The following is a 25661-nucleotide window of genomic DNA, read 5'->3' on the forward strand; positions in this document are numbered from 1 at the left end:
CAGAGGGAGGATGACGAGAGAGAGGAAGTGCAGAGGGTGGTCCTACATACTGACTCCCCTGAGTCACAGGGATGCAATTCCTCAATCCTGGCTTACTTTTATAAGCTCCTTTCCTACAAGATCTCAGTACTTTGTTGCTATAGACTGAATGTTTGTGTCTTCCCTCCCCCAAATTCGTATGTTGAAATCCTAACCCCCAATGTGCTCATAAGAGGAGATAGAGCCTTTGAGAGGCAATTAGGTCATAAGGGTAGAGCTCCCATAAATGGGATTAGTGCCCTTATAAGAAGAGACACAGAAGCTTGCTCTCAATCTCTGCTCTCAGACATACGAGGATATAATGAGAAGACAGCCACCTGCAAACCAGGGAGAGAGCCCTAACCACACACCAGATCTGCCAGCACCTTGTTCTTAGACTTCCCAGCTTCCACAAGCGTGAGAAATAAATGTTTAAGTCATCTAGCCTGTGGTGCATTTGTTACAGCACCTTGAGCTGACCGAGACATTTGTGGAATAAAATATTAATAGGCATTTGTCTGGCATATTAATGCTCACCAGGACCAGCGCAAAAAGCACAGGTTGGGTATAGCAACGAAGAGCTTGGACTTGGGAGCCACACAACTTAAAATCCCAATCTCAGCTCTGACAGTTATTAGCTGGTGACCTCAGCCATATCTGTTGGCCTCCCTGGGGCCCTTTCTCATTTCCTGGCATGATACTGGCAATTACTTCATAAAAGCAAATGCAGAAAACCTGTGAAGCAAAATCACAATGCCTGGAATCTGTAAGATTTTATATATATAACATATTAATGCAATATATGTATATTTAGTAATATACACAAGGAGCTGAGACAATTCTTCTAAATGTTGTTGATTGAAGATTGTCCACCATTCCATATTAGTTGCCTAGGTTCCTTTTAAGTGACAGTGCTAAATGAGAGTAAGATCACTTACAAAGTTATTTTCACTAAATTAATGTGTAGACCTTGTTTGGATCCTGATTTAAACAAATGGTGAATACAAAGACACATATGATACAGTTGGAAAATTTTGAAAATGGTTTCACTGTTAGACATTAAGGAATTATTCTTAATTTTGTTAGGTGTGATAATGGCTTAGTGGTTATGTCAGGAAAAAAGAGTTTTTGGCAGTTAGGAGACTCATAAGGTACATGGATGTGCTTTGGTCAAGGAATAGGCCGAGGTGGACATCCAGGCCAGAGTGACTCAGCGAGTTTAGGGCACAGGTGCATACTCCACTTGTTATATAACCTGTTTGTGTAAGTTCATACTTGGCTCTGAGCCCCTATTGTCTGTAGAAGGTATAACTGCCCTGCAGATGCTGTGCACGGGGCTCAGTTTGGCATGGCACGGCACGGCATGGCACGGCACAGCTTGCGTGCTGCTGCCCAGAGAGAGAGTAATGCTGGGGACCCCTGTAAGGGAGAGCCAGTTGCTTCGAAGGCAGACAGAGGGGGAGCCAGGAACTGGCTTGTGCCCAGAGGGAAAGAGTTAGGCTGCTGACCCTGTGGCTGGCCTTGCAGGCCAGGGAGTGCAGCTGCAAGCATGGGAGTGGCAGGAGCCACAGAGCCAGAGCAGACAGGTGGACAGTGTAAGAGAGCTGCTGATGAGAGAGCTGCTGAATAAAATTACATTTCACCTACTTACAGCCCCCCGAGTGTTCTTTCAGCTATTCGCCCATCCACCCACTTGCCTCAGACCTCAGCTGAGGCTGGAATCTAACCCCAAGCAGGACATTTGGCATAGTCGTGGCCGTGGACCTGACACTGTTGAAATATTAGGTCAGAACACAGAATATTGCCAATAGTTGACCACTTCTGACCTACAAAAACAGCAGTTTCATATGGTTCAATCTATTATTAACAAGTAAAATAATTTGATATCTAGAATTATTTTAAAATATTTCTGTGGGAAAATGGGGTGAAGGGGTGGATAGATGAAATAGGATTGTCAAAATATTGACAATAGTGGGTCTGAGTGATGAGGATGTTGGGATTCATCATGCTCTTCTCTCTCTCTGTTTGTGTTTGCTTGAAACTTTCCATAAGTTTTGTTTGGTATTCCACTGTGTATTATGACTACAAGGTAGTTTTTATGACCATAAGTGAACTTTAATTTAATTTTGTGTAAACACACAAAAAGGAGAGATTGAATTGGGCTGTGTAAATGAACCTAAGGGCAGGTGGAGCTGGTGTCACCAATGATTGATTGACTGCCTTGAACATCTCGAGGACCCCCTCTGTCATTGTCTTTCTCTTCCCTGTTCCTTTTGGAACATTAATTCGCTGATACAAACTTGTCCAAGTAGTGGGGTGTGGACACAGAGAGAGCTGTGCTGGGCTAGCAAGCCCACATCCTTATGTTTTGTGATTAAAAAAGAAAAAGGAACAAGAGGTTCTTATTCTCTGGCAGGAATTTAACAAGTCCCAAGAGCCCTGATTAGCCCCGTTTAGATCAGGCGCCCACTCCTTAGACCAATTAGTGTGGCCTTGGCTGTGAGAGGCTGTAATTGGCCCAGCTTGGGTCACGTGACCACCTCAGTAGCCAGGAGGGCTCTTTGTGCTCTGAAGATTCTGGGATGGAAGAAGGGCTGAGTAGACAGAAACACTAGCCACCCTTATAAGGTTTCTGGTTCTTTGCACTAGCTATTAGATTACAAGCAGTCTGATCACAGATCATGTCTTTTTCCTTACCAGTTAATTATTTGTTTCCCCAGTTTTTATTTCAAAGTTTAAAGACCTGGTTGCAAGGCTTGTTGCAAAACAGAATCAGCATTCCCCCTTTCCTTTCCTTGGAGGTGACTAGTAACTCTCTGAAGTGGTTCTTTTGGTTTTGCTTCCACAAATTGGAGTGACATCTTTCTATTCCTCTATTTGGTTTTTCAGTTACAGGCATTGTCTACCTAGTCCGATCATTGAGATGATTTTGATGTCTTTCACACCCACCCACACTCCTACCCAACATATTCATCCTTTCTATCCCCTCATGTTGCCTGTAAATTATATCAGTAGCATTGATTAGGTCAATATTTAACATTTACACGATCCTGAGTATGTAAACTCTATCTCTAGCCAAGCTACACCTGCACCACTTTGTATTCTCCTTAGAGTTCATAATTTTTTTCCCATGGAAATTTTTTCTTAGCTGGGTAGAGGCCATCTCACTAGCATACATCTTTGTTTTATAGAATTACACATACGTCTGAACTCGAGATTTCACCCCCATGATTTCAGGTTACTCACACCCTCCAAAATTCATTTGTTTTTCATTGTATTTTATAAAATAGTTACAAGTATGGCAGCCATGCGGTTGAAAACAATTTTAGGAGGACCTATAGTTACAGAAATGCATCAAATTTGGTCATTATTTTAAAAATATAGATAGCTACCTCTTCAACAATGTAGAGAAAGCATATAAAACAGCATATAAAATATTTCTGAACTTTTAACTATAGTGTCTTAGGATCAAGAGGTATGTATGCTTATTGCAAAATTTGGTGGTTTCTAAATATTAAAATCAGCCTAATGCTTGCAATGTTGAAATAATGTTCAGGAAAGATATCCTAACAGTGGTTCTCAAAGCATAGTTTAGAACAGCATCAATCTCACTTAGGAACTTGTTAGAAATGCAAATCTCCCTCCCCTTTAATGAGAAAGAGGGAAAGGCGGGGAGCAATCTGTGTTTTAGAAGGCCTCCAGATGATTCTGATGCAGACTGGAGTTTGAAAACCAGTGTCCTAGACAAACATTGTGTAAGTTAGGGATCATGTCCAGCTGTTAGTAATAGAGACTTGAGATGACAGTGGCTTAAAGCACATACCAAGTTTTTCCTTACATAAAAGGAGACTGCAGGTAGGTAGTCTTGGATGATTCAGATGTCATATTTTCACTCTGTCCCTGCCATATAACTCCCATCCTCATGGTTTTAAAATGGTTGCTGAAATTTCAGCTATAACAAACATTCTAGGCACAGGAAAAAGCAAGAGAGATGGGGAGAAGGCAAGCTAGGTAAATTACCTTCCAAGCGCACTCTCAGATGTCCCACCCAGTGACTTAGGCTTTAAACTCATTTGCCCACCACCCCATAGTTGAAAGGGAAGCTGGGAATTAACAGCTGGTCACATTGTTGCTCAGAATATAACCAGGGATGCCAGAAAGAATGGATATTAGAAGGAACTAGCAACTTCTAGATCCTTCCTGGAATGGAGTCAGTCATCAAAGTTAAGCCTTTAAGAACATTATTCTGAAATAGCTCTTTACTACCCATGCATTAAAACACCATCTTTTATCTGCTAGAGGAAAAACTACTTCCTTGTTTTAGGCAAAAGTCTTGGCTTACTTTGAGAATCTGAAGAGCCATTTATCAGAATAAATGAATACAATTTCACATAAGTAGAGGCTGTAGTTGTATACATCAACCAAGCATCCTGCACAGTTTCTGAGAAGTTGATTTATAACAAACATACATGAAAAACAATCAATTAAAAACTCCATTCTCTTCAGGATTATAATTTCTCTCATGGAAATGCATCATAAGGAAGTAATTCAAGGAGAAGCTGTACGAACAACACTGTTCATAGCACTGTTATTTATGACAGCAAAAAAAAAAAGTAGTTTACAATTCAAATGTCCTACAGTAAAGTAGAGGCTGAGTGAATTGTGGTATGACCATTACATAGCCATAAAGACCATGTAGCAACATGGCAGAGTGATTGTAAAAATATTGGCAGTGCGGGCAAATGTCAAAACACGTGTATGTAGATAAGAGCATTCAGAGAACTATAATGCTTTTGTCAGGATGTTAGAATTATGAATATACGTGGTTTCTGTTTAATTTCCTTTATTGTTCTATGAGAAACAACAAAGAACAAAACAAGAAACAAGAAGAACAAAAAAATAAATTTACCCAGGTTCCTGGCCATGATTTTCCCTGAGATTCTTTTCTGGCTGTTTGTCTTATGCATGATTCAACCGAGGGTGCTCCAGGAGGGCGTGCTTTGCTGCTCTGTGGGAAGGTTGTATGTAAGGCCCGATGAAGAGTCTTCCTGTGGCTTTGGTGTGTCCACGTGGGTTAACACCCTGATCATCTGTCTCTGAAGCCGTTTGTTTTGCATCACCAGATTTTTTTTCCAGTACTGAGAACAAATTTACAATCATCTATTCATTCTCTCTTGCCACAGTTTCCTCATAATCAGTTTCATGTAACTAGAAGCCAATTGTCCCAATTTAGGTGTAGATTTGTAGGTGCCAATGGGAACAAAAAAATATGAAACTTATGTAGGAATCAAATCAGTCTTTAATATGATGCTGTGTATAGACCTGCCTCACCACCACTGGCACCAAAAAATAGTCCCCTGTTCCTGAAATTACTGTGAATTTGCACAGTTGTCCAGCTTGGTAAGAGCTAGAATTAACCTTAGGTTGAGTATAGTGTTTATTTTTTTAGGTTGAAGATTCCCCAAATGCCCCAAATTCCTTGAGATGGATTGAGATTTGTGAGTGAAATATGCAAACCCCTGGCATATCTACATACTGGGTAGGCTGGTGACTGTTATGGGTTTAGAAATGGTGAAAGAAAAATGGCCAGGGAGCTTCTCAGCGGGTGGGGGTTGATGATAACAAATACTCAGCTCAGTAGAGCTGGGAGAACAGAGCAGAAGCTCATCAGGAATCCTCCACCAGCAAGGCCTGGGGACACTGGGGGTGTCTGCGTGCTCACAACCAAGGCAGGAGTCCTTCAAAGAAAGGGAAGAATCTTGGCTGGGTGCCTTGGCTTATGCCTGTAATCCCAGCACTTTGGGAGGATCACGAGGTCAGGAGTTTGAGACCAGCCTGGCCAACATAGTGAAACCCTGTCTCTACTAAAAATACAAAAAATTAGTTGGGCATGGTGGCGGGCACCTGTAATCCCAGTTACTTGGGAGGCTGAGGCAGGAGAATTGCTTGATCCCGGGAGGCGGAGGTTGCAGTGAGCCGAGATCGCACCACTGCACTCTAGTCTGGGTGACAGTGCGAGACTCCATCTCAAAAAAAAAAAAAAAAAAAAAAAAGGTAGAAAGGGAAGAATATTGATTTTCCAGGAAGTGAGGGACCTGAGATAAAAAGTTCAACCTACCCTATTGAAAACTACTTCCATAAAGTAATCAAGCAAACAAGAGTATTTATCTTATTAATCTTACAGGAGAAACCAACCTGAAGTAGGAGGAAGACAGGTAAATCCTGGAAGACTCTTTGAGACTTTACCAAATTAAATGGCTTAAGTTCATGTGCCTATATTGTGTATAATACACATGCTGAATTTCTTTTACACTGAAGTGAAATAAACTCTGCTCTTTAAATAAGGGGCAAGTGCCATAAACTGAAAGAATCTTTGTGGGGAATCAGCAAAACCAGAGAAAGGAAAGCTCATAAAGTCCAAGGGTTTGGGTTTTTGGAGCACATTTTATTTTACAATACCAGAGAATCAACATCTAGTAGTAGCATAATACAAAATGAAACACCAATCTATTTAAAACTCATGTAATGGGAACTGTATTTCAAAAATGATAAGAAAACAAAATAGGAGATTTAGAGACCAGTCGATATAAATGTATAAAAAGCCCCCAAAACTCTCATTTCATCATCAGTGCAAACAAAAATCATTTATAATAACATACATATGAATACATTCACTTACACTCACAAAGTGGATTATCATTTTTATTTTCCATGAAATATGTCAAAATATATGCAAGTATATCTTCACATTCTGATGGGCAAGATAAATCTTCAAATTAAAATATGTACATTTCACTTAAATTAACCAAAATATTAAAAATAGCAGCAACACTGGTCTTTAAACACGTCTAATATCCCAAGAGATTGTTCACACAATATAGACTATTTTGGTAGCTCTTTCATTATTAATATTATTTAATATCCACATACAGTTTAGAAACTCTAAGGTTCTGGTCTGATCTCTGAATAACTTAAAGTCTAGATTCAATAAATACAAAGAATAATTATAAAACACAGACTGCAGGACATTATCAAGACCAGGGAGGAAATCATACCCAAAGGTTTTAGGGAAGAATCAGATATGAAGGCGTACAGGAAATCTGTAGGATTTCCAAGGCAAAAAGGTGTGATCTGACAAGCTCCCTGATATGTTAACAGACTGAGTCCAGAGAAATGTGTGAATGTCTCGAAGGCACTTTCTCCGCTTCATCCTTCCATGTTCCCTTTGAATACGGCATTTAAGTGATGAACAACTTTGGAAATTTCCCAATAAACAGGGGATAGAATCATTTCTCACCAGGAGGCAAGACAGTGGATCAGGAGGTTATTTGTTTTTCAGCATTTACGTTTATTCTGATGAGCAAAGGCATAAAAACCAAGATTTCAACAGGATTTCGTGTATTTCATCCTAGATGGTGGGAAAAGTATTTGTAGCCCCATTCTCAATGTGTCACTGTACCAACCTGTAACCCTATTGGCTTAGAAAGAAACCCCAAATGGGGTTACAGGAGTTTCCTCAGATCTGGATTTGGTTACAGAAGTTGCCCCTGTGACTGGGGACTCTCTTTATATTTCAATAGTTTTTCAGAAAAGGTAAATGTTTAAGCCTTTCGATGGGGTTGGACCTTTGCCTATACTACTACAGGTATCACTCTCTGACATTGAAATGTCAATAGTTTGTACCTATTTTCAAACCACTTCATATACTATTTCAATCGATTCTCACAAAAAAAAAAAAAAAAAAAAAAAAACACTTGTGTGGAAGCAAGGATAGGCATCCAAGTGCTCATTTCAAAGATCTGGAAAACTGAGGTTCATAGAGACCAAAGTGACTTACCTGTCCACAGTCGCACACGAGTGAACTGGTATGGATCTTTTGCAGAACTTGGCTCTATACAATGTTTACTTATTTTGAAGAATGGGGCTTGGTAATAGTTATTTCCAAAGAATGAAGTAATTTGAAGGGGGTAAATAAAAAGGGAGAAAAATGAGTTCAAGAGAAGAAAGGGAGCGAGAAGTGGTGTCAGTTGGCAGTTAGTATTATGAACTTTAAAATGAGCAAAGTGCATTTCACATTTAGAACACAGACATTTAAAAAATATGTAATACTTAAATCTTCCAAATTGTCCTATTTTGGGCTAGATTTACTACATCTTTAAATATAATATCTGAGGCTACATTTTTATTTACTGAGGCTGCCATTGAGACATATCATGACCAAGAAATTTTTACATGAGTTCTACAATTTCCCAAGAGACTGGTGAAAATGTTATTGCCTATTCTCAGAACCCCATTCCTACCCCATTTTACTTCCAGAACAATTCCATTATATATATAATATATATTCATTATATGTTATATAATATATATTTATATATATATAATTATATGTATATATAATATATATTCATATACAATATATGTATATATAATATATATATTTATATATTATATATGTAATGGAATTGTTCTATATATAATATATAACATAAATATATATTACATATATATAAAATATATATTATATATATATATTTTTGACTCATTGGGTGGTTTTCTCAAGTGTGGGTTTTAGAAAATATCCTTAATGAATATTCTTGCTGTGTCCTTAGGAAAATTAGCTTTTTTCTCTCTGGAACTAAGCTGAGAAAAAGACTGCAAGAAACTTAGAGCTTTTATCACTTTAAATCTGGATTCCAGTTGGACAGTTGCCAGAGAAGAAAAAATTTTAAATGACTATACAAATTAATTTAGAAAGCTGTCATATTTCACACAACCTTTTGAAGAAAGTTTAGTGACTCTTAGCTTGATAGTTCCATACAACAGAATTATAATGATTCCACAGAAAGTATTCCATTGTAAAGAAACTTATCTAGAATGATAACTTATGAATTGAGGACTTAGGCTTAATGTTCTGGTGTGTGACACTTGGAGCTATTGGTCAGTTCTTATTTTTAATCAGTAAATGCATTTTAAAGAAACAGTTGAACTAAAAAGGAGGCCATTCATGATACTGTTTTGTAACATGATAAAAATGTTGTATAAATCCCTTCGCTCCTCTTTAGGTACTACCTGTCCCAACCCACATCCTCACCCCCTTCCTTAACTTTCATACATTATAAATGCCCCCCAACAGTCTCCTCAACCCTGAATTGACCAAGTAATGCACCAAAAGGCAGATTATGCTTTGGCAAGCAGGAAATTGGACTATTCTTTGAGATTTTTCTGAGGTAGTGAGTCTTTCCTCCTCTGCTCTGATGGTTAAGAAATGTCTTGAAAGCTGAGTTAAGAGACAAGTGGAGTGTTGGTCACAGTACTTAAACACTACTCTGAAATGGGTGGTTTATATGATCAGACGATTACCACAAACTTCAAAAGCTTCTTCAGTAGAATCCTGACTGTTATGTGGAGAACTTAAAGATACCGAGGTTGCTATGATGAGGATAAGCCGCAGTCTCTAAAAAAGTGCCTGTCATATAGTTAGGTGCTCAATAATGTTTGATGACTGACTGAATGTTTAAGATCTCTGATTTGGCTCAGTGAGATTACAAGCAAAAACAAATATTAAAAAAACCTAGCCAACTGCAGGCTAATAACATCAAAGGCTAGATCACTTTCCCTTGTGTATGGAATTTTGGACACCTTTTAAAATATGGGAGGACTGAGTTTAAACAGTATTGGGCATAGTATGGTATTCAATTCCACACTGACTCCATTTATCAGGCACCCTCTTATTTCCATCCTGATTTTACTATCATGATGTGGTAGTGAGATTTCTATCCATAAATAACTTTTCTGAGGGCAAAGTGATCCAGTCTCTCTGCTGTTCTTCAAGCTTTTCTGCCAAGCATTTAATCAAGATAGGGTCCACCTTAGAATCAAATTTATTAGCAAACCAATGTCCATCTTTGATAAGCCACCTTAATTCTGCAGCTCCATAAATACACACGCTTCGAAGGTGAGATCCAGTACAACTGGGATAGAAAAAGCCTTCATAGTAATTCCACTTGACAAGGCGAGTCTTACTCTGCAGATCAGACACATCCTGGGCTGATCTGGAAATCTCCCCAGGTATTCCTGGAACCCGAATCAAGGTAGCCCAAAAGTGCTCATCAGGAGAGTATGTGTCTTTAGACCAGGCAAAAAAGTCTTGAACGATGGAGTTGTTGAAAATATATTTAACAAATGCTTGACTTAAAACAAAATAAGCACTGCCAACAAATATCTGAATGTTATGGGGGGGTGCTTCCTTGGAGATGTTTGTCCTTATTGGTAGCTTCACATATTCATAAGGCACCCGTCTAAGTTCATGATGGTAAGTGAATCTTTCCAATTTACTGTTTGGGGGTTTCACCGTCTCCAACATATTTGCTCCATTGAGTTTTTTCAACTCTGACACCAATTCAAAATTTGACTTCAGGGGAAAATCTTGCCCACACAAGTTGATAACATATTTCCACTGGATTGAAGACTTCAGAAGGTCCGACAAGCAATTTAAATCAGCCTGGAGTCTGGAAATGTGGGCATATTCCACAGCCTCTAATTTGGAAGCAATGAAAATATTGGAGAAGCACTTAGCTAAATTGTTCATGGCAACTTTGAAGGTATCAGGTGCCTTACGATCATAATGGATGCAGTAAATATTGTGCTGGTTGTATATAGCATGGATAAGCCTTTCAACCATAATTGCATCTTTGTGGACAACCAAAGAATAGGCTATTGGGAAGCTTTTCTCCTCCTTTGAGACAAGCTTTTGAGCATAACCTCTTAGAGTCTGATAAATGTCACAATCACTGGTCATTGCCACAACATCATCATCCTCCAAGTCAATGATGTCCCTTCTTCTTATTTCCAGACTCTTTCCAATTTCCAAAGGCTCCTGTTCATAGATACCCGAACAGTTAACTTCATACCTGACTTCATCCTTAACATGAGTGTATCTGTTTCTTACAAAAGGCGAGGTACTTAGGGAGTACTCAACCAAGTAAATGTCTTTTTGCGGAAAGAGTCGTCTCACATTTAGAAGCTTTAACAAAGAGAGCAGCCATAGGGTTAAAAACAGGATGAAAACTTTCTGCTGTAGGGTATGTTTAAAATAACATTTGAATATCTTCATTCTGTAAGAGGAGAAAGAAATAATCCAGTTGGAATATTAACAGAAAATCAGGTCAGTTTATCCAAAATCTACTGGGCGCCTACCACATACTAGGCAAATGCTGCCCCAAAGATGAATGAAACAAGGTTTTTACCCTTGAAAGAATCCAGAAATAAGGAAATGGAATTATGAAGAATGGTGGTATTTTGGGGTATTCTGTGTTAACTATACCTAATTTTGAGAGATGTTGGTTTCCAAACAGAAGGGAAGGTAATGTAAACTCCTAAAATATAAATATAGTGTGTCTTATATTGTCTGCATTTCTGCTTAGCATATTTGAGGAGGGATTGCTCTGGTTTGGGCAGAGGTCTAGAGAACTGGATGTCATCAACAGGGCCTCAGAGATGCAAAGGACTCACCTAAGGCCAAAGGGAACATTCGTCTTGATTCTACCTCCAGATCCCTATTAGATCCAGGTCTGAAGTCAAACAAGGAAAGCCCAGGGAACCCCACGTTCAGAAAGAAGGGTGGTGGGCAGACACCCAAAGGAGCTATGCTAAGTATTAGAGACTGTAAAATGTATAGATAACAAAATTGGGTAAGCCTGCATATTTTCCTTATTTTTTATTTTGTTAACACCCATTTTCACACAGGGATTAGCAATTTAGCCCTTAAAATAAAAAGGGCCTGATTTTTCACTGAGAGTAGTAGGTGGGGTGTAAAAACTACGTTGGGGGGCAATTTGGCAATACTTGTCAGTTTTAAATGTACCCACCCTGAAGATCCCGTGTGTGTGCAAAGTCAAGCACAAAGAGGTTCCCTACAGTGTTTTGTATTCAGGCAAGACAGAAAATCTCTCAAACATCCTTGAACAGTGCATTGATTAAATTACATCCATGCTATAATATGTGAAAAGGCCTGAGACCACTCTGCATGTACATGCCAATGGGGAACAATCTCTAAGATATACTGTGAAATAAAAATAAGCAAAATGCAGAAGCATGTCTAGTATGCTTACATGTCTATACATACAAAGAACATACATTAGCAAACTTTTTCTCTCTTTTTTTTTTTTTGAGACAAGGTCTTGCTGTGTTACCCAGGCCAGAGTGCAGTGGTACAATCATGGCTCAATGCAGCCTTGAACTCCTGGGCTCAAGCGATCCTCCTGCCTCAGACTCCTGAGTAGCTAGAACCACAGGTGTGTGCCACCATGCCCGGCTAATTTTTTCTTTAGTAGGGACGGAGTCTCACTGTGCTGCCCAGGCTGGTCGTGAACACCTGGTCTCAAGTGATCCTCCTACTTCAGCCTCCCAAAGTGCTGGGATTACAGGCATGAGCCACCACCCTCAGCCTAAACTTTTTCTTAAAGGACCAGATAGTAAATATTTTTGGCTCTGTGGGCCATATTGTCTCAGTCACAACTACTCAATTCCGCCCGTTATGGTAGGAAAGCAGCCAGAGATTATATTTCAATGAGTGGGTGTGGCTGAGTTCCAATAATACTTTATTTACAAAAACAGGCAGCTGGCTGGATTCAGCCCACAGCTGTAGTGTTTCCAAAAGGATATTGTATACACACAACACTGGTAACGGGAATTGCTTTGCAGGGTAGAGTGGGAAAGGACTGAGGAATGGGGCCTAGGTAGGAGGAGGATTTACTTATCACTGAATATCTTTTAGTATCATTTGCATTTAAAAATGATTATATTACTTTTTCAGATGAAAACAGGCTGACTAGGAGGAGGGTACAGATGTACTTATAGGGAGCAGCAAGAAGGGCGGCCCAGGAAGTACTAGCCCAAGGCTCCAGGACAGGAAAGCTGGCAGAGCTCCTAGGGCTGCTTCAGGAGGCTCAGATACTGAGACCTGGTGGGGTCTGAGCACCCCTGTGCAATTTCCTAACATATCTCAATAAACCTTAAATGGAAGACAATCATTGTATCCAATTTCATTCAAGAGAATTGCCAAGAACTTGGAACCCAGTTTAATTTTGTAGATTTCATCTATACAGACCCATTGACAAAACTCTCCCCTGGGAATGAGATCCCACCTTCCTCATTCACCTCCGCTTAAATCCCTCTGTTTAAAGAACCACACCTTCACCACCATCAACTGTACTGCAGAATCCCACCTCTCCAGCCACATCTCGTCTCTCCTCTGTGGACTGCCCCAGGCTCCTATCCTCTGCTCACTTCTCTTCTCCTGCATACTTGCCCCCATCTCCAGATTCCACCTTCCACACTGATGCCTTTCCATATTCCAACACCTTTCCCTCCAGCCTTCACCTCTTGCCCAAGCCTCAGAGGTGGACCTGCAGTTGCTGGATGGACATTGCTTCCTGATATCCCACAGGCACTCAGCCTCCACGAGTCCAAAACTGAACTCGACATCATCACCTCGCCTGCGTCTTCTGTCTCAACTTATGGCAAGACCATCCACTCATGGCCCATGTTTGAAACTAGAGTTACCCAACTTGTCCATTTCACTCATACCCATGTCAACCTATCACCTCATAAATGTGCCTCAAATCCATCCTTTCTTCTCCATCCCCGCTGCCAAGTCCAGACAGCATCTTTGCTGCATCAGCACCCAGGTTAAGAGACTCCTGGTCAGGCTCATAGCCCAGGGTCTGTTGACTGGTCTCAGCTTTTTGCTCCTCCAAAGCACACTGAACAGGGTCCCATCACTCAGGCTCAAGGCCAGGGTTCTTGCCAGTTGTTCTAAAGCTGTGGAAAACTGTCCCCACTCCCTTGCCTGACACACAAGGCAACTCACTGCAACTCCAGAAGCCTGGGCACATGTGTAGAATTGGGTGTTGTGGTACAGTAGAAGACTAATCAATCCCAAATAGGGGTGTGTGTGTGTGTGTGTGTGTGTGTGTGTGTGTGTGTGTGTGTGTGTGTGATTAATTCATGGTTATTAGGTATAAATAGTATGTAGCTTACAGAAATGGCTAGAATTGGAAGGGGTCTAACTCAAAGTAAATTTTGGCTATTTCTTTTCTCACTGTATTAGTCCATGGAGTCTCTAATTAATGTTAGCACTTCCCCCTGACACCACAGTGGTAAAAAGAAAAGACCTCACATTCTAAAGAGATTTACCAAGTCTCCCAGAGTTGTCATGTCATTTAACTATCATCTTCACACTTAAATAAAAAAGACAAAGGCCAGCTCCCTGCCTTGTCACTCATTTCCAGGGCCTCTTCTGCATCCAGGCATCCTTGCCCTTCCTGAGAAGGCCTGGGGCACACACATACTGACTCTAGCCTGGGATGGGAGAGTCTGAGCTGGGCAGGAGGTCATGGTTGCCTGCCCAGACATAGAAGCTCACAGGACATCCAGGGAAGGAAGAGGTGGGAGGCACCCAGTGAGAAGTCCTTTGGAAACTGGCTCAGGGGCCCACATCTGAGAGCCAGGAATGAGAGTGAATTTCAAAGAAAGAAGGGTAGGAAAATGGGACAGCCCAGGCACCTCGCTTTCTGATATACCTTCGCCCAAGGCATCTTTAAGGGGGAGAGTTTGTTTGTCTTGGGGTCAGCCTTTGATATCCTTTGAAAGGAGCAGCCCTCTCCAATATTACCCTGTCCCAAATCAAAATAAAACCCCTTCACCTGCTTACCACGGCCAGAAATCCCTTTATTTATTTATTTATTTATTTTTTTTTTTTTACTTTAAGTTCTGGGATACATGTGCAGAACAAGCAGGTTTCTTACATAGGTATACACGTGCCATGGTGGTTTGCTGCACCTATCAACCCGTCATCTAGGTTTTAAGCCCCGAATGCATTAGGTATTTGTCCTAATGCTCTCCCTCCCCTTGCTCCTCACCCCCCGATAGGCCCCAGTGTGTGATGTTCCCCTCCCTGTGTCCATGTGTTCTCACTGTTCAACTCCCACTTATGAGTGAGAACATGAGGTATTTGGCTTTCTGTTCCTGTGTTAGTTTGCTGAGAATGATGGCTTCCCACTTCATCCATGTTCCTGCAAAGGACATGAACTCATTCTTTTTTATGGCCGCACAGAAATACCTTTAACTGAAAAGCATTCCTTTCCCCAAAGAGGTGCGTAGGTGCAAAGCCACTTGGTATGGAGTTTCTGTCAAATCCTAAAAGGGGATGTTGGCCTCTTCCCAGCTGCGGTGGGCACTAATAGTGAGGGGAATGCTGGCAGGAGGTTGGAGAGGACCACCGGTCCCCAACCTTGGTTCAGCTGGCTTTGGCTTCCTCTGAAAAGAACATCTGCATAACACCCTTGGGACCCTCCCATTGGGCTCTGCAGGGGGTACACCCCCAGAGCAGCACAGCCCCAGGGGACACAAGTTGCAGGGGGTGGAGGTGGGCTGGTAGAGGCCCCGGGCCTGGAGGAATGGGAACCAGCTCCTTAGGTCTGACCAGAGTCAGCTGGGCTAAGGCTGGCTGTCATGTTGGCCACATGGTTCCTAAGAGACCAGGCTAGCAATGTCACCTTCTGCAAGCACTGCACCCAGCACTTTCCCTCTTAAAGGCTTATGGGCAGGAAGCAGGCAAGTGTTTTGCTGCCAGGAAGTGGTCTTACAATTACATTACAAATAATGCCCCACCCACGGGAGAAGCGGTATTTCCCCTTCTACCTGCCCGGGTAGACAAGGAGGTCTGACCTGTTGTGGAGTTTATTGCCACATAGGCACAAGTTCCTAGTGATGACAGAACTGAAAAAGCTGTTGCAAGGTTTGGTGGCTATAACTCAGGTGAAATATGGTCTATAATAATTCAGTAAAAACCTACTCCTCACTAAAGTCCCAATAGGGATGTTGAATGAGGCATTTCCCTCAAACCATGTTCTTCTCCCAACCCATCCAGGCATTGTTGGAGCCTTCAAGGAAGCAGCAAGAACACAGAGGTGCACCCCAGCTAAGCGGACACGACCGCATTCAGGGACACCCCAGCTAAGCGGACACGACCGCATTCAGGGACACCCCAGCTAAGCGGACACGACCGCATTCAGGGACACCCCAGCTAAGCGGACACGACCGCATTCAGGGACACCCCAGCTAAGCGGACACGACCGCATTCAGGGACACCCCAGCTAAGCGGACACGACCGCATTCAGGGACACCCCAGCTAAGCGGACACGACTGCATTCAGGGACACCTCAGCTAAGTGGACACGACCGCATTCAGGGACACCCCAGCTAGGTAGGCACGACTGCATTCAGGGCTAAATGGCTACAACCATTAGCAGCTCTTCAACTAACTCTTCTTACCTTGGCAATTTAAAAACCCAGGACTTTCAAAGAAGTACAGATGCTTCCTTTCCCAGGGAAGAAAGGGGAATGGTAAGTCAAGAATGAGAGGAAGACTGAGGAAAAAAGGACAGAGTAAGGCTGAGTTTAGGGACCAAGAATGCCTGAGCTTTTTTCAGGAACAGGTTGTGGGGCACTGGGGAGAGAGGAAGAAAGGAGCTGCGCTTCAGGATGCCACAGACCTTGGGCCTGAGTCCCTGGACGAACTCTTAGTAGCTCTAAGACTTTGATCAAACTATTTAAGCTCTCTGAAGGCCAGTTTTCTTGTTAAAAATGGGGCTGGACTACTCTAGGAAAATGTGGCCAGATTGCTTTTTAAAGCAGCTCTATGATCCTGTTCCTCCTCACCGGGTGTGACCTCCCAACCGGGGTCTCCAGCTACCCCAACGCTGGCGCTTTCTGACTGACAGAGGTTTCAAACCTCCCTGGGATGCAGCTCCCAGAGGGATGGGCAGGCCGCCATCTTTGCTGTTTTGCAACTTGACTGTTGATACCTGCAGGTACTGGAAAATCTGAGATGATTAGGGACTTCATGGCTTCTTTAAAGATCCTGCCCAGACCTGTGGCTTATTGTCCTGTTTTTCAATCTACCTCCTATTTCTCCACAAAGTCTTAACAAATTCAGTATTTTAGAATTAGTGCACGAAGGCCTCCATGTAATGCTCTTTATTAATTTTATGTATATTCATCCCTCAGTATATGCAGAGGATTCATTCCAGGGCCCCCGTCCATAACAAAATCTATGCACACTCAAGTCCCACAGTCAGTCCTGAGGAACCAGGTATGGGAAAAGTTGGCCCTCCATACATGTAGGATTTGCATTCTGCAAATACTACATTTTCAACTTGTATTTACTTGAAAAAAAAAAAACCTGTGTATAATTGGACCCCCTGAAGTTCAAACCTGTGTTGTTCAAGGGCCATACTGTAGTTATTAATAATGTAGAATCACTCAATCAAGAGTTGTCACTAGGTGCACTATTCTAAGTACTCTAGATGTAATTCAATCCCCTCAAGAGATCGATGAGGTAGGTACTACTGTTATCCCTCTATTATAAGAAAGGAAACTGAGGCACTGTAAGACAACTAAATAAATGCCCAAGGTTACAGTTCTAGAAAGTGCTTTAAATGGAACCTGAACTCAGAGAGTCTTGCTCCAGACTTGCACTTTTAACCCTTTATGCAATAGTGTCTCTCAGAATATAAAGAAAAAATTCTCCATATTTCCCGCAACAGTTTTAGCACTTGACTAAATTTTCTCATTACTATGTCTTCTCTAAATGTCCTAGAACAGGAACAGGAATGGATCCCAAACATGGTCGAGGAGATCTTCCACCCTGTTTAAGAGATGATTTCCATGGAGAATGAGCCTGGAGGAATGCTGGGTGAGGAATCACATTCTGTCTCTGCAGTCAGAGGCTGAGACTGATCAATGAGCTAATGAAGAGGTTAGTCAGTCTTCCAGCCCGTAGAATCAATTCAAGGAAAAGAGAGCAAGCTCATCCTGAGGGACTCTGCCATTGGTTACTCCTGTCCCGTATCCTGTCACCAATGACTATCGATTCATTTGTTCTTATAGTTATCTGTGACACCATTTAAGCACAGAGAATTGCTAATTGTTTTAGAAAACTTTCTGGGTTAAATTTCTCTTCATGTGGAGAATATTCCCTCTTCAGGCCACCTTAAAGTTCTTAAACTTTGTATTATTACATATCAGTTTGAGAAATAGGATATGAAGAGCTTATTGATTTAGAAATGTCAGGGCTTTTGCTTCTGTCTAAAGCCTTACTAAGAAGAATCACCAGTTAAGAAGATCAATATAAAGACGAACTCACTAAAAAGCATCCTGATCTAGTTGAATAAGCTAACATCCTGCTACTGCAGCTCCTTGATTTCAATGAAGTCACTGATTCTCCCTTGGTGACTCGCTCACTGCCAAGCCCAGGGGATGTTCTGGAGTGAGACCATTAGGTGGGAGGATGACTCAGTCAGATGCAGTTCCTCCACACTCCCACAGCACTCCAGGAGTCATGCAGAGGAGTGGAAAGACAGGTTTCTTGCCTAGATGACCTTACATTCTTATTGTTCTGGAGAAAAGATTGCAAAAGCAAATAATAATCAGATTGTGAGCAGGTAAACATACCAACTATGCAAAACACAAGGAGACGTATGACTCGGTCAGAAATCCAATACAAATTGAGGACAAGCATTTCTCAAATAATAATAAGATATGGTCTCTAAAAGGAAAAGATTTTCTATTCTCTTTTTATAAAGTAAACACTTTCAGGCCGGGCACAGTGGCTCACATCTGTAATCCCAACACTTTGGGAGGCTGAGGCAGACTGGCCTGAGTGCAGATCACCTGAGATCAGGAGTTTGAGACCAGCCTGGTCAACATGGTGAAACTCCGTCTCTACTGAAAATACAGAAAATTAGCCGGGCATGGTGGCACACACCTGTAATCCCAGCTACTTGGGAGGCCGAGGCAGGAGAATTGCTTGAACTTGGGAGATGGAGGTTGCAGTGAGCTGAGATCATGCCAGTGCACTCCAGCCTGGGCAAGGCAAGATTCAGTCTCAAAAAAACAAAAACAAAACAAAAAACAAAAAAAACAAAAAACAGAAAAACAAAAAAACCCAAACCACTTTCATTAAAAAAAAAAAAAAAAAATCAGAAAAGTCCAAAAACGAAAATAAAGCTCACCAGGGGCCCATCACCTGGCAATAACATCTTGTAGACAGTATATCCTTCCAGACTGGTTTTAAGAAACACATTTTTTTTTTGGCTTTGCTTTATAACAGTCTCACTATATAGGCATTGTCTTACCTGTTTCTTTCATTTCACAGTATATTATGAACAAGTCCTAACCTAAACTGGGTCTGTAAATTATTACAGTGTAAACAAATCCTAACAGAGGTAAACATACTTTTCTACAGGAAAAAAACCATTCAAATAATAGAATTCATGTATCTAGGTCTTCTCCACCAATCCTTAATTAATAAACCCACAGTTCCTGAAGAAGCCCAGAAGTGCAATATTAAAACGGAAAATAACTTTACAGGTGGTTGAGCCCATATTTCTTCTCTAAATGTGTCTAGCCATCATTTAACCCCATCTCATTCCTGGGGTACTGGGAACACCTTCCCCCTTTACATATGTGTCTTGGTTCATTCCTGCTGCTATAATGAAATATCTTAGACTGAATAATTTAGAAACGATAGGCTTTTATGTCTTGCAGTTCTAGAAGCTGGGAAGTCCAAGATCAAGGCACAGATTTGGTGTCGGTGAGGGCTGCCCTCTGCTTCCAAGATGGTGCCTTGCTGCTGTGTTCTCACATGGCAAAGGGCAGACGGGCAAAGGGGGGGAGAGGTGAATGAGCTCCCCCAAAACATCTTTTATAAGGGCACTAGTCCTATGCCTTAGGGCTCTACCCTCATGATTTAATCACTGTCTAAAGGCCCCACTTCTTAATACTCTCACACTGGTGATTAAATTTCAACACATGAATTTTGGGGAACACATTCAGACCATAGCAGTATGTGTCTATCCAACTGCTCCCTATCAAGGGATTGGACAGAGGAGGGATGCCCAACTGCCCCTATTCAGGTCCCTTACGGTGGCATTTGGTCCAGACTGGCTCTACTCCCCACTCCATGGAGCCTGCTCTGGCTAAAGTCAACAAAAGCCTTCATGTTGCCAGAGTCAGCGACACATACCTGTCCCTTCCTAATGATCGATGCTAAGAGATAGCACTATTTCCATGATCTTATTCACTGTTTTTTTTTGTTTTGTTTTGTTTTGTTTTTCAGACAGGGTCTCACTCTGTCACCCACGCTGGAGTGCAATGGCACAATCTCGGCTCACTGCAACCTCTGTCTCCCAGGTTCAAGCGATTCTCCTCTCCTGCCTCAGCCTCCCTAGTAGCTGGGATTATAGGCACCCACCACCACGCCTGGCTAATTTTTTTGGTATTTTTAGTCGAGACGGGGGTTTCACTATGTTGGCCAGGTTGGTCTCGAACTCTTGACCTCAGGTGATCCACTTGCCTCGGCCTCCCAAAGTGTTGGGATTACAGGCGTGAGCCACTGCACCCGGCCTCTTATTGTTCTTACCTTATACTCCATTCAATTATTCTATACTCCATTCAGTAAATCTATGAGATAGGTACGATTATCATTATCCTCATCTTTCAGATTAAGAAATCAAGTCAGAAGATAAATAACTTACCTTAGTTCATATAGCTAGTATATTGGAGGAGCAAGGATTTTCAACCATGGTCCAATTTTCAACTATGGTCCAATTTCAGAGCCTATACTACTAACCACAATTCGAGACTGCCTTTCCAATCTCCTGGCAGTAGTAGAGCCTGTTCTACAACCAAAATGTATTTCAAATCCACCCACCTCTTTCCACTCCATGGGAACCTCTCTAACCCAAGCTAGCATCAACTCTTGCCTAGATACAAAATAACCTTACCTGGCTTCCCTTGCTTTCCTCTAATCCATTCTCTGTACTGTAGCCAAAATGATTTTTTAAACATACAAATCAGATCACTTCCCCTCCCTAATCCCACTCCCTACATCTAAAACCCTTCATTGGGATTTCATGTCATGTAGAATACAATAAGAAATCCTTTTCATGTCCATAAAGGCCCAGGCAGTTCCCATGGCTGCCTTACTCTACGAGTTCATCTTATTCTACTCTGTCTTTCTCATAAAACTCTAAGCAACACCAGCCTTCTAAAAGTTCCTAGAACATCCTAGTCTCTTCCTTGCCTCAGGATCTTTGCAACTCCTGTTTCCATGTCTAGACTACTTTTCCTGGATCCTAGCATGACCAGCTGCTCCAGGAAAAGAAATAGCTTTTCCTCAGGTCCTCTCTGATAACTTTTTTTTTTTTTTTTTGAGAGTCTCGCACTGTCGCTTAGGCTGGAGTGCAGTGGCGCCAACTCAGCTCACTGCAACCTCCGCCTCCCAGATTAACCCTTCTTAAATCTCTCTCCTATCACACTCCTTGTTTTCTTCTGAGCACTTGCTACAAGGAGTAGTTACTTTACTTGTTTAGTACCTGTCCTGAGACAGAAACATAAGGTCTTTGAAGGCCTCACTCACTACTTTACCCCCAGTATTAAAGACATCCATACCTGGTACGGGGTAGTTGCTCAATGGGACAGAGTCAGAAGACCTAAGTTCTAGTCTGGGCTCTGCCACAAAAAATTCTTCAAGTGACTCTAGCATATCACTTAATCTTGGCAAATCTTTCTTTCCCATGTGTTAAATGGGATAATGTTTTTTCTATCCCACAGTGCAACTGTGAAAGTCTTATGATGTAATGTATGTGAAAGTCATGGGGAAAAAGACAACTTTGGTATGCAAATGTCAGGTATGAGGACCTCCACAAGAGGAATGGTTTCTTGGGAAAACTGAGAAAGAGTCAATGTGTTATAAGTTGGTTTTATTTTTCTAAAACAGTACATTCATTATTCCCTTCATTCTGACATTCTAATCATTATTGGTTTTTCACTACTTGACAGCATTCTTTTTTGTTAATATCTGGAGTATAAATTGTCCCTAAAGTTTCAGAATTATGTAGACAAACACCTGTCTTGGATTTTGAGAGACAGGAAGAAATGTAGTTAATCTTTAGAGTTTTTTCCCCAGTATGCTCGATATTTTTCAAAAGATTAATAACCAAAAAAGTTATTTAAAAGACAGCCAAGAGCACGTGCAATCAGTTTCATGCAGTTATGATTGGCTAAACGCGGTCTGTAAGTATGTGTTGCAAAAGCTATAAGCTTTTCCTGTAAGTTCATTATCTTTTATGGGCAATTCTCCAGGTATTGCAAAAATGCAATGACTTGTTCTTGCATCCCTGTTTGGTGAAGCCATCCCTAAGGACCACGGAACCCACAAAGCAGTACTGAAGATTCTGCAGCAATGTGAATACACAAACACACCCTCACCCAGGGCCTTTGCCAGTCCTCTGTCATTCAGATCACACATCAGTGAGACTGGCTCAGCTCAGTGAATTGAGATGCCCTCAACTAAAGGAGCTCTGTTTGATGTTCCTGTGGAATGTATGACAATTGACAGCTTTCTCTCTAGGCCTGCAATTATGAACGTCATCATCTTCCCTGAATAAAGGACTACTTTACCTGCAAGATTTGGAGAATAGAGACCTAAAGGAAAACACTGAGCATGAAAATAATTCTATCAACCACCTCTATAGATTATAATTCTTCTAGCTAGAAACTTTACTGGAGCCTCTCACATTTGGGCAGAAATAAAGGACCTGTAAGATTACATGGGAAATGAGTAACCCACATCAGGATGTACATACCCACGCATAGACCTCTCAAGGTCATTGGAAATCTGGGCTGTAGCAATGTAACAACAACAACAACAACAAAAAGAAGCGCAGAATTCAGCCCATGGTCACACCAATTGGGAAACAGTAGACTTGATTCTGGGCTTTATTTCATCTGGTCCACAGGGCAAATATCAAAAGCTGACTGTGTGTGTATCTAGCTGGGCAAAGATACATGGCTAAAGTCTTTAGCAGGAAGTGTAAAGGGCCACATACAATGAAACTGAATGAAAAGTTTTTGTTTTGTAATAGATTGTGACCCTCAAAAGGGAGTAAAACATTAACAGTTTTTCTCTAAAGAAAATTCTAAAAAATATCAGAAGATGGTGAATTTCAAAAATACTTATGCCTTCAAATTTCAGTTTGATGAAAAAGCTCACATGAAACGTTTGCTTCTTTTTAGATATAAAGGATTATGAAAAAGGGGTGAATGAATGCATTACATCTTTGCCTCTCAAGCTTTATCAAAGAGGTTTCATTCCTTCTTGGGATCCCCGTCTTCTCTGCCCTTCTCACTTAGCTTGACACAACATAAAGCCAAACTACATTTTATGTTTCATGTTCTAAGTTAAAAATATGGGTTGAGAATATTTTGGCTTCTTTTTCTATAAAGTAGAAAAACTGAATTGAAAAACATGTCTATTTTTGAAAATGTGTATCTATTGCACTAGAAAGAAAATAACTTTCTCCACCTAATATCTACATGGTATGCTTTTTTTTCCCCCTCAGAAATTTTTGGAAGCATTTATTTTGGTATTATATGGCTAACTCCATATTTTTCAACTGGCCAAAATTAATTCCTCAAAGATTCCATGGCTAGCTGAAGAGGTATGGGTAACTGATTTCTAAATGTGCATTTAAAGTAGAATCTCCATGTCCATCGCAGAGGCAGCACAGGGATAAACAGACATGAATCAAGGGTATTGATGTCAGAAATGGCTTGAGGCCAGACCACACTCTTCATGAATGGATTAGACACCCTGAGTTTAAAATCATCACCCTGAAAACCCTGAGTTTTAAGTCATGAGAAGAGCTTGCTTGTTTGTTTTCTGGGTTCTTCCAATGTGGTGGGGAGCTCAGCTGGAGACTTCAACATGCTTCTGCACTTCCACTGAAAAACAGGATTGGCAGCTCTTGGCATGACTTCACCATTTAGCTAAGATCTGTGTGTTTCTTGGCTTAAAATGTACATATTGCTCTCAGATCTTGTGTGCATATTAGACACAATAAAATTAAGACTCAGGAATTCAAAAATTAAGTTAAAAGGATGGAAGAAATAAAAATCTGCAGTGCTTGGGAAAATTCCGCCACAATAGGAATTTCAAAAGCAGAGATTTCAACCTACCAAAAGTCAAATCTAGAAATGATTCCAGAAAGCTCTCCAACAGCCATCTCCTACAAGGATCCCTTCTAGCCGTAGTTTTAATTAAGTTAACAGGTCTTTCTCAATACGTAGGTTTTATTTCAGGTTAATAAAAAGTAAAAAGATTGTTTAGTTTACTAAGTGTCTAAGCCAACTTATATGTCAACTGTATACAAAGCAAAAGCAAAAACCAGACTCTTCAGATTTTCCAACAGATTATGATGTTAAAACAGTATGGTCTGGTGCCAGCATAAAAAGAGATCTGTGGGATAAAATCCAGAAACAGATCCATAGGTAAGGGTTTTACATATGGCTCTGGTAGAGAGCCAGTTGCCTTCCAACATCCATCCTCTCTTCTTTACTAAGAGAACCCTATATTGTTGGTGGTAGAAACATGTCTCTTGAAAAGACTTTCCTCTAACTTCTATTGTAGAGGAATAAAATATAATGTGGGATTTTGGGAAAGTTTTCCTATAGGAGCCTGATTCAGGTAGGAGGTACGCCATTTTGTTCTTTCTTTTCTTCTTCTTCCACTTTTCTGCCTGGAACTCCAATATGATGGCTAGAATTGTTGCACCCACCTTGAGACCATGAGGAACAGACCAAGAGAATATCAGAGACCTCAGCCCCCGTATCCTCAAGCCACTGAACCACCACTAGCAAACACCCACTTTGAATTCCTGTTACATGAGAAAAGTAAGCCCTTATATGTTTAAGCAACGTGCACTTTGAAAGATGACCGTAGGAAAAGGAAATGCTTAACCAACATATACATACGCATGTCCAGGAGCCAAATTAAATTTAAACCAGATTAAAGTGGCTACTTATACAACAGTACATTCCTATATATAGCCAAGTGCAAAATAATGTGTCTTAAATGATGCTGAACTTCTCATCCATCTATATTTAGAGGCAGATGGAGGCTTTAGGTAAATATCTGAAGGAAAGCAGATGCCAAGATTTACCAAATTAACTCTGATGTTGGCAAGAACTGTGCAGTCTGCTCGCCACGCCTCAGTTAAGCACTCTTCAGCTGATGGCAAACTTCCTCTGTGTATGGTTTCTAGTCACAGGCAGGGTACAGGTCACATAATCCCTGAAGGTCACCTCGCAGGTGGGCTGTCTTCTTGAGAGCTTGTTATGTAACAGGGGACTTTGGAACCAGCTTTTCAACAAATAGCTATCAGTACCATGTAGATATCAACCCAACAAGTACCATGTTGAATAGTTCTGAGCCACCGCCTGAATGTGCCCCTTTTCCCTCCCCTTGCTGCCTGACCCCATTCCTCTTCTTTCTGCCCCACACTGGACCCCCTCCATGTTACCTTCCTGCTTTACTTCTGTGTACATCATACAGGTTTAGAATTTAAAGCCAATGGTTCTGAACTGAAGTCCTGAGTCTGCTGCTAATAATGTCATTAATCTAGTAGCCTTCTGCCTCCTCATCTGTGAAAGAGGAACAAGGGCACTGACTCAAACGGTTACTGCGATGACTAAATGAGCTAATGCACTGGGCACATTTTGGCAGGAAAACCAGCC

The 25661-nt window shown here is 41.2% G+C and overlaps 1 protein-coding gene across 14 annotated transcripts in view, besides 1 other annotated feature; it reads right to left on the bottom strand.

The window, feature by feature from the left end:
- Positions 1-25661, bottom strand: part of GCNT4 (glucosaminyl (N-acetyl) transferase 4) — a 37092-nt gene that overhangs the window by 1935 nt on the left and 9496 nt on the right. For 9 of the 14 annotated variants that reach the window (XM_047417280.1, XM_047417272.1, XM_047417274.1 and 6 more), the window contains one exon: positions 6443-11135. The exons of 1 other annotated variant lie outside the window; for it this stretch is intronic. In XM_047417280.1, coding sequence (XP_047273236.1) covers positions 9773-11134 — 1362 coding nt within the window. In that variant the 5' untranslated portion in view covers position 11135 and the 3' untranslated portion in view covers positions 6443-9772. Of the gene's footprint in view, positions 1-6442; positions 11136-18228; positions 18481-21832; positions 23871-25661 lie in introns of those variants that run through there. 4 more of the 14 variants (XM_047417276.1, XM_047417275.1, XM_047417277.1 and 1 more) reach the window with 2 other exon arrangements.
- Positions 17673-18872: an enhancer, noted in NCBI's record as "P300/CBP strongly-dependent group 1 enhancer chr5:74332401-74333600 (GRCh37/hg19 assembly coordinates)". NCBI's record gives its function as "activates an origin of replication core promoter dependent on BRD2, BRD4, P300/CBP, MED14 and CDK7 cofactors, with strong dependence on P300/CBP, by STARR-seq in HCT116 cells {active_cell/tissue: HCT116}" and the evidence as "EXISTENCE:reporter gene assay evidence [ECO:0000049][PMID:35650434]".

Source organism: Homo sapiens, chromosome 5, assembly GCF_000001405.40.
Source record: "Homo sapiens chromosome 5, GRCh38.p14 Primary Assembly".
NCBI classification, from domain to species: domain Eukaryota; kingdom Metazoa; phylum Chordata; class Mammalia; order Primates; family Hominidae; genus Homo; species Homo sapiens.